The sequence below is a fragment of the Homo sapiens genome, chromosome 5 (genome assembly GCF_000001405.40).
Source record: "Homo sapiens chromosome 5, GRCh38.p14 Primary Assembly".
Taxonomy (NCBI): Eukaryota; Metazoa; Chordata; class Mammalia; order Primates; family Hominidae; genus Homo; species Homo sapiens.
The window spans coordinates 125,309,599-125,324,140 of record NC_000005.10 but is presented as its reverse complement, the minus strand read 5'-3'; the positions used below and the strand labels follow the sequence as shown (position 1 = coordinate 125,324,140).

General features: G+C 36.9%; 1 long non-coding RNA gene across 1 annotated transcript in view, besides 1 other annotated feature; it reads right to left on the bottom strand.

Moving 5' to 3' along the window:
* The window catches only part of LOC101927421 (uncharacterized), a 330,904-nt gene that overhangs the window by 43,594 nt on the left and 272,768 nt on the right, over positions 1-14,542 (bottom strand). The gene's annotated exons all lie outside the window — the stretch shown is intronic.
* Positions 5,647-8,671: an enhancer, noted in NCBI's record as "VISTA enhancer hs1643". NCBI's record gives its function as "enhancer in: forebrain[4/4] | other[3/4]" and the evidence as "EXISTENCE:transgenic organism evidence [ECO:0001131][PMID:17130149]".

Below are 14,542 nucleotides of genomic sequence, written 5' to 3'. Positions count from 1 at the left end.
CTGTCACTACAGTAGCCTGAAAAGTAAATATATAAAACTAGCTGGATTATAAAGAGGAAGAATAAGGAGTTGTACCAGATAATAAAACATACGGTAAAGCTGCAGTTCATATCACTTCAGTAATAGGCCAGGAATACACAAAAGCATCAATGGAAAAGAAAGTCCAGAAACACACCCAAATACATACGGAAATTACCATAAAGAGAGCATTTCAAACCAGTGTGGGTAAAGATAAAATTTTCAATAAATCTGTGATAACTATATAGTCATTTGGAAAAAGTAAAACCACATCTCCAAATCACTACTTAGATAAAAATAAACTCCAGATGGAGCAAAGATTTAAAGTAAACAATGAAGCCATTAAAGAACTGGATGAAAACGTGACTGAATTTATTTATAACTTAGGGTGGAGATGGTCTTTCTAAGCAGACACAAAATTCAGAAACCATAAATTTGATAATTTAGACAACACTAAAAAAAAAACACTCTTTCAGCAAAGCTTAAAACATTACAAAAGGAAAAAGCATTTAACAAACAAGAAACACAGGACCCACAGCTAATTACCTAAATTTAGAGAAAAAGCTTTACAAATTGATTTTTAAAACAGAGAGCAAACTCACAAAAAACAAACAACAAGAAACATCAATGAACAAAAGAGGGCACTTTATAAGAAAAGAAACAAATAGCTAGTCAGCATATGAAAAAGTCTTAACTTTCCTGACCCTGAAACAAATACAAATTAAAAACAAACACAAATTACATAAAAACATAATGATACATAATTATATTAAAACATGATAATTTTAAAATGGGGAATAACTTAAATATCACTCAGATGTTTTAAGTCATGGTATATCTAAATAGTGTAATAATGTACAGCCCAGCCAATTAAAAAATTTGACTAGATCCGGGTAATATGAAACATTTTATCACTTAACCAAATATTTAAATCATTTTAAAGAGTGATAAGAACCATAAAGCGAAAAGGTGCTAATGGTAGATTATTTCTAGCTATAAACATTCAAAAAAGGTGACTCTTAGAGAGTAAAGAGATTTTAAAGAAAATTGGAGAGAAAAGAAGGAAATTGTATTTCACACTTTTACAAAAGCCATTCTTACAGGTGTGAGGTAATATTTCATTGTGGTTGTAACTTGTGTTTCTCTTTTGATTAGTGATGTTAAGCATTTTTTTTCCATTACCTGCTAGCCATTTGTGTCTTCCTTTGAGAAATGTCTGTGCAGGTTATTTGACCATTTCCTAATTTTTTTTATATTAAGTTCCATATATATTTCGGATCTTAACTCCAAATCAGATGTATGATTTGCAATATTTTCTCCCATTCTGTAGGTTGTCTCTTGACTCTGTTGATTGTTTCTGTCAAGCTTTTTAGTTTGATGTTATCTCACTTGTCTATTTAGGTCATATTTTCAGGTCATATTTTAAAAAATATTTTGCCAAGACCAATGTCAAAGAAGCTTTCCCTCTATGTTTTCTTCCAGTCGTTTTATACTTTCAGGTCTTGTGTTTAAGTCTTTAACCCATTTTTAAGCTGATTTTTGTATATGGGGTGAGATAAGGCCCAATTTCATTTTTCTACATGTGGATATTCCATTTTCCTGGCACCACTTATTTGAGATTGCTTTCTCCATTATGTGACCTTGGCACCTTTGTCACAGATCAGTTGACATAAATTGTCTTTTTGTAGTTTAAAATGAATTATAAATTTTAAAAGCTTATATATATTTGGCATTTTCCTTTACCTCTTTTTTGCCATATGTGTATACATATATATATAATTTTTTTTTTAAGACAGGTCTTGCTTTGTACCCAGGCTGGAGTGTAGTGCGCCATCTCTGCTCACTGCAACCTCCATCTCCTGGGCTCAAGTGATTCTCCCACCTCAGCCTCCCTAATAGCTGGAGCTACAGGCACCACCATGCCCAGCTAATTTTTGTATTTTTTGTAGACTTGGAGTTTCGCCATGTGGCCCACGCTGGTCTTGAGCTCTTGGGCTCAAGGGATCCTCCCGCCTCAGTCTCCCAATGTGATTACATAGACTTAAGCCACAGTGCCCAGCAATTGCCAGATATTTTTTATTGCTATTTTAAGCAAACTAATTTGTGGCACTCAAACACCAGATGAATACAACTGATGTTTCAAGAAACTGCCAAACACAAACATTTTCACAGAGGCCATAAATAGCAATGCCAATTAATTTTCTTGCCTTCCGTTTTCCTTTCTTTCTTCCTTCTTCTCTTCTTCTGTCCTTTCTTCCTTCTTTTCCTCCCTACTCATTTTTCCATTCTTTTTTTCTTTTTCTTCCTTCCTTCTTTTCTTCCAACAAATTGGCCAATACTGCATGGCAGTCACAATTCCAGGTAAAGTGAATAGAGAAGTAAACAAGATAAGGCTTCCAACCTCCTACTGCTCACATTCTAATGTGAGAAAATACAAATAAATAGTACAAAGTATTCCAAATAAAACATTTTTTTAAATGTAACATGAAATAGGCATTTTTAGATAAACAAAAGCTGAAAGAACCTGTTGCCAGCAGACCTGTGAGAAATAAATTTCATAGTTTATAAGCCACCCAGTTTATTGTATTTTGTTGTAGCGGCCCAAGCTAGCTAAGACATATGCTGTGTTAATGGATTTGAAGACTCAATGATGAAAAGGTGTCAATTACTCCCCAAATTAACGTGTGATACAAGTCTAATCAGAAATCTAACTAGGCCTTTATGTAGAAATTGACAAGCTGATTCTAGAATATACAGGGAAATGCAAAAAATCTAAAATATCTTTGAAAAAGAGGAAGATAGTTGGAGAACATTCACTATCTTACTTCAAGACTTATTACAAAGCTACAGTACAGCAACAAGAAAGTTACAGACAAATAAGGACAGAGATATAGTTCAATAAAACAGCAGAGTCCAAAAATAGATGTGTATACGTACAGGTCTATTTTTTATTCAACAAAAGATCGAGGGAATTTAATATGAAAAAAAGGTTTTTCAGCAAGTAGCATTGCAACAACTGGATAAATGTATGAAAGAAACATGAATCCTGACCCCTGTCTCAAATAATACACAAAAATTAAATAAAGATGAATCATAGACCTAAATGTAAAAGCTAAAGTCTTAAAATTCTAGAGGAAAATATAACAGAATATCCTTATGGCCTTGGGGTAGGCAATGGTTTCTTAAAGAGAAAATAGGGCCAGGCACGGTGGCTCACGCCTGTAATCCCAGCACTTTGTGAGGCCAAGGAGGGTGGATCACTTGATGTCAGAGGTTCAAGATCAGCCTGGCCAACATGATAAAACCCCGTCTCTATTAAAAATACAAAAACTAGCTGGGCAAGGTGGCGGGCACCTGTAATCCCAGTTACTCGGGAAGCTGAGGCAGAAAAATTGTTTGAACCTCGGAGGCGGACGTTGCAGTGAGACAAGATCGCTCCATCGCATTCCACCCTGGGTAACAGAGCTAGCTTCTGTCTCAAAAAGAAAGAAAGAAAGAAAGAAAATGGTAAGCACCAACCATAAAAGACAAAAGAAAAAAGAAAGAAAAAAAAAGAAAAATTTGATTTCAGCAAAATTAAACCTAACAACCCAGCTTTAATAAGATAAAAATACAAGGCTCAGACTAGAAGAAATATTTGTTATATATATATAAATGATAAAGGACTTATATTCAGAATATATGAAGAACTACTAAAACTCACTTAAATGACAAATACATAAGAAAGAAAAACTTGAACAGACCTTTCACAAAAGAAAATATATGAATGGCCATAAAGCACATAAAAATCTCAAAATTATTTATTGTCAGATAAATGAAAATTAAACCTTCAATAAGATACCACTTCACACCCTCTAAAATAGCTACATTTAAAATACTGGTAATACCATGTTGTCAAGATAGTGGAGCAACCTGAATGCTCAAATATTGATGATGGTGAGAGTGTAAAATGGTACAAGCATTTCAGAATACAGTTGAGCATTTTATTATATGCTACATTTATCATACGGTCAGTGAATTTCACTCTTAAGGATTTATCTAATTGCCCCAAAACACTTGTACTTGAAAGTTTATAATAGCTTTACTCATAGCAAAAAGTAGGAAACAATCCAAATGTCTATCAACAGGAGAATGGATAAACATATTACAGTATATTCATAAAATGGAATTCTAATCAGAAATTGACAAAAACATGACTAATAATGCATATAACAACCTGGATGAATCTCAAAAACATTATAATGAGTAAAAAAGCCAGATGTGCAAAGATACATACTGTACGATTCTATTTATGTGAAATTTAATAACAGATACAATAAATCTGTGGTGTTAGAAATTGGAATGGTGGTTGCACATAATGGGTGGAATTTGACTGAAATGAATGGACACAGGAGATCAAGGTGTTGGTTACATGGGCAGATAGGTTTGTCAAAACTCACTTAAAATCTGTGCATATCATTGTATGTAAATTTTACTTCAATTTTAAAAAGAGAACAATAGCAATAAAAACATTTAGGAGATGATTGCAAAAATCCAAGTAAGAGAGGACCATGGTAGCAATGGAAGTGGTGAAGTAGTTGGCTGTGAAACATGTTTTGGAGTGTACAGATAAGACTTATCTATGGATTGGATGTCAGGAAGGAGGAAAAGAAAAGATTCACAGATAAGAAAGTTGACAGGTGTCATCTTCCCTGAGAAGCTTTCTCAAAGCACGGCTCATCATCTCCTCCAACAATCGTTCTACATTTTCCTCTTTTCGCCTTTGTTAAAGGAGGGTATTTCCTGAGTTGGAAATTTAGTGCTGGTCTTCGACCGAGTATCTGTTCCTTGCCCTTCTCCAGCTCTGCTCTTTGTGACACCGGGAAGGAAAGAGTTGCTCCTCCCTCTAGACTGTGTGTCCCAGGCTACCTCATCACAAGGCTTCTGGTTAGGTCTGGCCAATGGAAAAAAATCATAGGAAGATTAAAACATATGAGGCAGAGAGAGAAGTCAGGATTATTTCTCTTCCTGTCTCTCTGTGGAAGCATTTCTCATTACGGTTACGCCTCCCTCAGGGCCTCAGTTTGCATGAAGTGACTTCCACTCCTGGGCTCCCATAACACAGCACCACCACTTTGGTCCTTCAGCCTTGTAGTGGCTTCCTGTTGTTGCTCATACTTGGGTTGCCTCAGGGTCTCCTGACAGGTTTTCAGGATTTCTATCACTTGTATGCCCAACTTCCTGCACTGGCTTCCCTCCATTTAAAAATCATAGTATGATTTCAGTTTCCCGGGTTCAATCCTAATAGTCAAGGGGAAAAAACAGAGTTAACTTAGGGAACTGCAAACCCTTAAGACTAGGTCTGGTTATGATCTTACTATTGTGGTTTGGTTCACGTTCACAATATATACTTGTAGGAAACATCAAATTAATAATAATAATAATAACAGCAACTTTGCCTTACAGAATGTTTTACGAGACCTTTTATTATCTAATTTTTCCCCTTAACATGTGCAGTAATTAGCTTAGTGCTTCTCTCAGAAGAAATAAATGTTAGATATTATTATCACTTATAAAGTTTCTTGGATTTACTAGTCCTCAATAAACTGTCCTCTGAAATCTTGAATCCTGAAGAAAATACATTCATAATGAACCTCAGGCTTAGGGATTCATACATAAACAATTATATTAAGAATATGATTTAATGAACCTCATGTAAGAAAGACAGAAATGTTTCCTAATGGACTAAAAATGTGTGGTTGTTTAAAAATATGTCTAAAAGTTTGGAATGATGAAGAGTTCTGGAAACGGAGAGTGGTGATGGCTGTATAATATTGTGAATGTACTTAATGCCACTGAATTGTGAATTTAAAAATGGCTTAAATAATAAATAATATTATATTTTTACCACAATAAAAAAGCAAAAACAAAAAACACTAAAGAAAGTAAATATGGGGTTTAGAGGTATCTGATGAAGTGCATTTTTAAAGGTTATAATTTTAAAATATGTGTATAAATGTGTGTTAGTCTAGTGTTCTTAATTTCAGAGCATAATACAAAGAAAATGTAAAGGAAAATGAGGCATAGTTTATTTCTTTTCCACTTCTACCATCTGTTCACATTAGTCACAAAGAAACACCCTTATAAAATTCATTAAACTACTGAGGTATAATTCAATGTGGTAATGTCTTCAACACAATGTACACAATCGCCAAATGACTATGGCAATGACATCATTGTAATGGTCATAATTACATGACAATTCAGATATTTGATCATTCAAAACATCAGTAAAATAACTATTCTTCTTTTTTGTCAGCCTCTAAATACCTCTATTCATTCTTTATTCAAGAATCTGTGGCTTTCAGAGAGGAGAAAGAAACCCAATCCAGCAATGGGAGAGACAAAGCTAGGGGGAGGGGAATAGGGTTTGGAGGGGCAGGCAGGAAAAACACCGCACCACGCACTTGGAGAGTGGAGGGAGGGAGGGAGATGAAGCCAGCCTAATTATCGGAGAGTGAAAGGTCATCAAAATCAATTTGCAGCATGATGTACAAAGGTCATTATCAGACTCAGATTTTCTCTGCCCGTTTAAAACACAATAAAAATGAAGTGAGTGCTTTAATAACTATGATTAGTAAAGAAAAAAGCATATCATTGAGCCATCTGTTTAAATATTTGTGCTACCTTAGTTTTACTCAAAACAGCATGAAAGATGAGCAGGAAGGCATTTTTTTTTTCTATTTGTTTGCTTTTAAAATCCTGACATTTTCTCCGCTGGTTGCCGAGATTTATAACACAGATGAAAGAGCTCCTCTAAAATTACTGCCCTTTGAAATCAATAGCACGGTATTTGTAATGACTTTCTTTTTATTATAGAGCACTTCATTATTATTTTTATTATAATTTTATGGGACAGTCTGGAACAGAATTCATCATTCACTTATTTGAAGTATCTCACTTACTCAATGGCACAGATGGCCTGATCTGAGGAGGAGATTTAATCACCCCGTGTTAGGCCTGCCTGGATGCTAAATAAATGCAAACCATGAGAGAGACAGGAAGCAACGTGCAATGATAACATTATCTTAGTCTCCATTAAAAACTCTGTGGAAACTAATTCATTGGGGAACTTTGGAAGTTCGAATTATAAAGCTGGATTTTTTTATTTTGTTCTTATTTTTCCTGTAAAAATTAATATAATACTATGACATTATAGCGCAGGACTTCTGAAGTTTTTCAATTGTGTCTATCAGTAAAAAGTACATTTTACATTAGGACTCAGTACATGTGCACACATGCATACACATGTACACACACACATACACGCACATACACTGAAACAAACATTTTAAGAAGCAGTATTTGCTATTATTATATATGATGCACGATGTTATTTTCCAATCTAATTTATTTTTTTTAATGCTAGTCGTGATCCACTAAACTGTTTTAACAAATGGATCTGGACTCTCCATTTGAGAAATAGATTCAGGAGGTCCTGTGTTTTAAATGAAATATGTCTGTGAGTGCTTAGTGTAATATCTGGCACATAGTAAACATTCCACATTTACAGCAGTTTTTATGAGAAATGTCTTGAACAGATTTTGCAACTTACCACAGTTTAAAACAACTAGGAAATGCTCTATCTATAAAGGTAACATCTCTGATTTTTTTTTCTATTCATATTGCTCTAGCCTTGATTCAACCACCTGTTTCTAAAAAAACTGACCAATTATTGATTTTACGTTGTGGACCTATATTGGTAGACAAGAAAAACACAAACATGAGGAAAAAATATCAGTGAAAGAATGAGGTTTCCTTTCTATCCTCAGCCTTTCGCTTCACTTACTATTTAGCTTTTGTCTATATTATACAACATAGGCAAAAAGGTAATAGTATGAATTCTGTAAAATCCCATCATTTTAAAGAGTCAATAAACTGTGACCACAAAGAAGAAAGAAAAGAAAGGGGCAAAATGAGGACTTCTCTAACTTCTATGTATCATGTCATGCATGTACTTTCCATAAGCCTAGAAGGAGACTTTTGAAATTCTTTAGCTAACTGAAGTATTTTCACACTTATTCAATCAATAAATATATATTTATTGTAAACCTGTATTTCTACCTTACGAGAGTGTAAGTTTTATTTTTTTGTGGCTTAGTGAAATTACCCTTTCTTAAATATTAAATTTTATGCCTCTCCTGTGATGAACTAGCCACAAATCAAGAAATATATAAACATGTTAAGAAATTTTCTGAAACTTGTTCTTTTAGTTAAGAGTGAGAATCTGAAAATCACACCAGCATGCAATTTGAAGCTAGACTGAGACAACATTAATCTGTATTAGCCACAGATTGAGGGAGGGACCTGGGAACCATGCAAAATGCACTTGTAGAGAAATAATTACCAAACATCAAGAAGTGATGAAAGTCAAATAGGAAAGGCAAGAAAAGATAGCTTTCTATATACACTGGTGTTGTTTCCATCCAGAGGATGAAAAGATGAGAATTTTTCATTGTGCCCCTTAATATTCAGTATTCAATGAAAGCTGAACATTAGTTGTTTAGCTTTGCTATAGCCATAGACCTGTGAGATGTGTACTTTGCACTAACCTTTGTAATGGCAAGAAAGCAATAACTAAAATTATGAATGGGCCTGAAAAGATAATGGGGCCCGGCAGAAGCATGCTGTGTGTAATGCAGGAGTTTGAGTTCATATTCAGGAATGTGGCATCAGTGGGAACACACAAATTCAGATATGAAGGGAAAATGTCAAACATTTTTCTCATTTGCTTTCATTGTTTAGCCCTATTTTTGCCAAAAGTGGCCATTCTGAAACTCCAATGTTCCATTTTCAAAAATTCACATGAATAGGATTTTCAACATAAACTGGGTTTTATAATACACTACTTGATGAGTGTTGAGGTTGACTGAATTAACGGCTGTTCACGTAGACAGTTTGAATACTGAAGCCCAAGTACAAAGATGAAATAGTCAGAAGCGGAGGCACCCAGAAAAGCACCTCTTCTCCTTCCCCACTCAGTTTATCTAAAGATAGGAATTCTCATTTTAACTGTCCTGTAAATCAGGGTTCCAAGTTAGAAACAGTGAGTGTATGGATGAAAGTGAGCTCTTCTTAGGCTGATTCTAGCCATTCTGCTGTGCTAGCCAACCACCGTGGCTAGTCATTTGGTCACAAAATGCAGGGGTCACATTCAGCAGAAAAGTTTGGGCTAAGAACAGATATGCATTGTGGTATTATTGGTCTGATGCTAGGCACCTTGATATGGTTTTCCTCTGTGTCCCCACCTAAATCTCATCTCAAATTGTAATCCCCACATATTGAGGGAGGGACCTGGTGGGAGGTGATTGGATCATGGAGGTTGTTTCCCCCATGCTGCTCTCGTGACAGTGAGGGAGTTCTCATAAGATCTGGTTGTTTGATAAGTGTGTGGCAGTTTCCCCTGTGCTCTCTCTTTCTCTCCTGCTGCCATGTAAGATGTGCCTTGCTTCCCCTTTGCCTTCTGCCGTGATTGTAAGTTTCCTGAGGCCTCCCCAGCCATGTGGAACTGTGAGTCAATTAAACCCCTTTTCTTCATAAATTATCCAGTCTCAGGTAGTTCTTTATAGCAGTGTGAAAATGGACTAATACAGATAATTGGTACCAGAATAGTGGCATACTCCTATAAAAATAACCTGAAAATGTGGAAACAACTTTGGAACTGGGTAACAGGCAGAGGTTGGAACAGTTTGGAGTGCTCAGAAACAGACAGAAAGATGTGGGAAAGTTTGGAACTCCTAGATACTTGTTGAAAGGTTTTGACCAAAATGCTGATAGTGATATGGACAATGAAGTCCAGGCTGAGGTGGTCTCAGATGGAGATAAGGAACTTGTTGGGAACTGGAATAAAAGTGACTCTTGCTATACTTTAGCAAAGAGACTGGTGGCATTTTGCCCCCTGCCCTAGAGATGTGTGGAACTTTGAACTTGAGAGAGATGATTTAGAGTACCTGGCAGAAGAAATTTCTAAGCAGCAAAGCATTCAAGAGGTGACCTGATTTTTCCTGAAAGCATACAGTTATATACACTCACAAAGAGATGGTTTGAAATTGAAACTTATGATTAAAGGGGAAGCAGAGTGTAAAAGGTTGGAAAATTTGCAGCCTAACCATGTGGTAGAAAAGAAAAGCCCATTTTGGGGGGAAAAATTTAAGCCAGCTGCAGAAATTTGCATAAGTTAAAAGGAGCCAAATGTTAATAGCCAAGACAATGGGGAAAAATGTCTCCAGGGCATGTCAAAGACCTTCATGGCAGCCCCTCCCATCACAGGCCTGGAGGTCTAAGAGAGGAAAATGGTTTCATGATCCGGGCCCAGGATCCCACTGCTCTGTGCAGCCTTGGGATGTGGTGCTCTATGTCCCAGCTGCTCCAGCTCCTGCCTGGCTAAAATGTGCCAACGTACAGCTCAGGCCATTGCTTCAGAGAGTGCAAGCCCCAAACCTTGGCAGCTTCCACATGGTGTTTGGCCTGCGGGTGCACAGAAGACAAGAGTTGAGCTTTGGGAGCTTCTGCCGAGATTTCAGAGGAGGTATGGATTGGATGTCCAGGCAGAAGTCTGCAGCAGGGGCAGAGTCCTCATAGAGAACCTCTGCTAGGGCAGTGCAGAAGGAAAATGTGGGATTGGAGCCCCCACACAGAGTCCCCACTGGGGCACTGCCTAGTGGAAGAGGGCCACCATCCCCCAGACTCCAGAATAGTAGATCCATTAACAGCTTGCACCATGTACCTGGAAAAACAGCAAGCACTAAACACCAGTCCCTGAAAGCAGCCAAAGGGGTTGTACCCTGTAGAGCCACAGGGATAGAGCTGCCCAAGGCCTTGGAAGCCCATCCCTTGCATCAGCATGCCCTGGATGTGAGACATATAGTCAAAAGAGATTTTGGAGTTTTAAGAACCCTGGCTGGGTTTCACACTTGCATGGGGCCTGCAGGCCCTTTGTTTTGGCCAATTGCTCCCTTTTCAATAGGAACATTTATCATGTGAATGTACCCCCATTTTATCTTGGAAGTAACTAACTCGTTTCTGATTTAGAGTCTCATAGGCAAATCCTGTACCCCCATTTTATCTTGGAAGTAACTAATTTGTTTCTGATTTTAGAGGCTCATAGGCAAAAGGGACTTGCTTTGTCTCAGATAAGACTTTGGACTAGGACATTTGAGTTAATGTTGGAATGAGTTAAGACCTTGGGGGACTGTTGGGAAGGAATGAGATTGGTTTTGAAATATGAAAAGGACATGAGATTTGGGAGGGGCCGGGGCAGAATGATGTGGTTTGGCTCTGCATCCCCACTCAAATCTCATCTCTAACTGTAACCCCCACATATCAAGGCAGGGAACTGGTGATTGGATCATGGTGGCAGTTTCCCCCATGCTGCTGTCATGATAGTGAGGGAGTTCTCAGAAGATCTTGTTGAGTTTCCCCTGCACATTCTCTCTTTCTACCAATGCCATGTAAGATGTACCTTTCTTCCCTTTCCCCTTCTGCCATGATTGTAACCCCTTCACCTTCTGCCATGATTGTAAGTTTCCTGAGGCCTTCCCAGCCATGTGAAACTTTGAGTGAATTAAATCTTTTTTAAAAAAATAAATTTCCCAGTCTCAGGTAGTATCTTTATAGCAGTGTGAAAATGGACTAATACGTACCTGTACTCTGGAAAAAAACAGTCTAGGTTTGAATCTTGGCAGTGTTCATTATAGTTGTATACAATGACCAAATCTTGACTTCATCATCAGAAAAATGGGAATATAATATCTCTCAAGGTTGTTGGGAGAATTAAATGAGATATTCCAGATAAATCCTTGAATCACAAACAGGACATAGTAAGCCTATAATAAATATGTTGTATCTTTTTGATCACAACCAAAATTTTTAATTATTAGTGTCTTTTTATTATACTTTCTAGGCTTCTTGATGTAAGAGAGAGGAGGATAATTTCAGATTGTCTAGCTTTCATTTGTGTCTTCTGCGGATGGGGAGAGACCCAGACATACCAGATCATAGATTCTCTGACTTTCCAACTCTTAAAAAATGTAATCTTAGTTTCTTAAACAATCCTCCAGTTACACATTCAGAGAATCTTGGAATATATTACACATATTCCTGGAATGTGTTATACAAGATATCCAGAATGGAATTTTGAATAATATGACTCAGACTAGGAAATGTGAGGACAAAAATTCATGAGCTGTTTAGTGATTCACTAACACTACTAGTTTGTTCTTATAGTTATGATTCCATGTCATTGGTAGGCATGAATAACTGGACACAAATAATACCAATAGTGAGATGTTTTAAGTATCTACTACTGTATCACAAGCCATCCCAAAATGTAGTTACTTAAAACAATGACTATATTATCTCTCATGACACTGCAAGTTGGCTAGGCTCAGTCAGTTCTTCTGCTCCATGTGATACTCCCTGGGGCTGCAGTCACTGGGGGGGGTTCAACCTGGACATCCAGAACATCCAAAATGGCTTACAGTTGGTTCTGACTGTCCACTAGGAGCTTAATTAGGGCTGCCAACTGGAGCACCTCTGTTCTCCTCTACGTGGTCTTTCCATATGATCTGGGATCCTCACAGCATGGTGACTGCGTTCCAAAAGGCCAAAAGTAGAAACTTCCATTCCTCTTAAAGCCTGGACTTCAAGGTCTCAGAACATCATTTCTTCTTCTGAAATTGCTATTCTCGTGGTCATATTCAGTTATAAGTCAGAATTCAAAGAGAAGGAAAGTGAGCTCTACCTTTTGATCTGAGAAACGGTATGTACAGACAGGGAGGAGAATAAACTTACAAGATAGATATTATGTAAGCTTCATCTGGTACTTTTTAATTTTTTACCCCATTAGATCAGAGGTTGGCAAACTATGGCCTGTGAGCCAAATCCAGCTGAATGCCTGTTTTATAAATAAAATTTTATTGGAATACACATTTGTTTGTTTACATATTGACTGTAGCAGCTTTCAGGCTACAATGGCAGAGTAGAGTGGTTGTGACAGACTTTGTGGCCAGCAAAACCTAAAATATGTATTATCTGGCTATTTTCAGAAGTTTGCCAACCCCTGAGTTAGACTATTAGCTAGTTCTTGCAAGCAGGTAATACACACATACACACACACATACACAAAGAGACAGAGAGAGAGAGAGAGAGAGTGAGTCACTGACTTAACAATGGTTTGACTTACAATGTTTCAACTTTACAATGGTAAGCAGGTGATATATGCTCAGTAGAAACCATACTTCAAGTACCCATACAACTATTGTGTTTTTCACTTTCAGTATAATATTCAATAAATTAAATGAGTTATTCAAACTCTATTATAAAGTAGGTTTCTGTTAGATGATTCTGTTCAACTATAGTCTAATGTAGCTGCTCTGAGCCTACTGAAGTTAGGCTAGGTTAAGCTATAATGTTTAGTAGTTTGGTTGTATTAAATAAATGCATTTCAAGTTGATATTGTCAGCTTACAATGGCTTTACCAGGATTTAACTTCATTGTAAGTCAAGGAGCATCTGTGTCTGAGGGCGTGTGTGTGTGTGTGTCTGTGTGTGTGTGTGCATTTTTTCTTAAATCTGCGAACAGTACACCTGCCCACCAGAATTGTTCAGCAAATTAATACTCTAATGTATTTTTTGATATAGGCAGCTATTTTTGACTACTTGGTAGTAATTATTCAAATAATATATTTGTGTAATTTTTATTAAAATCATAAGACTATTCTTGTACTGTAGTTCATCATATTTACTTGTGCTTCAACCTGCTGAAGTTTTGCTAAGTGAATTTCCGTGCAAAGCAAGTAATCAAAATTCACATTTCAAATGAATCTTCATGGAAGTGTAAGTCATGGTAAAAATGGGGGAAATGTTATATATACAATGTATCAGCTTGTATCTTTAATATAGTTACAATGACTTTAAGAGGATATAGCATCACATTTTTGAAATTCTTTTGTAAAAGCTGTTTTTATTCCAAATAGCCTTTCTCTTTCTAAATTGAGCAAACTGTCATCAGAATCTTGCAGTGGTTTAAATTTCTGATATATTTCCCTGGAGAGCAACATAATCTTGACTTATGGAGATGTGTATTTATGAGTGTTTACTATATACTCACGAGTATTAATTAGGTTGTTTTTAATAGTCTCAAACATAACTAAAATATTTGCAAGACTCTTTATTATATGTGGTGGGAGAATATAAAGATACGTACTCCACGAATCTCAAATGTATTACCTAGGTTAGGACTTCCCATACTCCCCTAATCATAAGAATTCTGGCCGGGCGCAGTGGCTCATACCTGTATTCCCAGCACTTTGAGAGGCCGAGACGGGTGGATCACCTGAGGTCAAGAGTTCAAGACCAGCCTGGCCAACATGGTGAAACCCTATCTCTAGTAAAAATGCAAAAATTGGCCAGACGTGGTGGCATGTGCCTGTAGTCCCAGCTACTTGGGAGGCTGAGGCAGGGGAATTGCTTGAACCCAGAAGGTG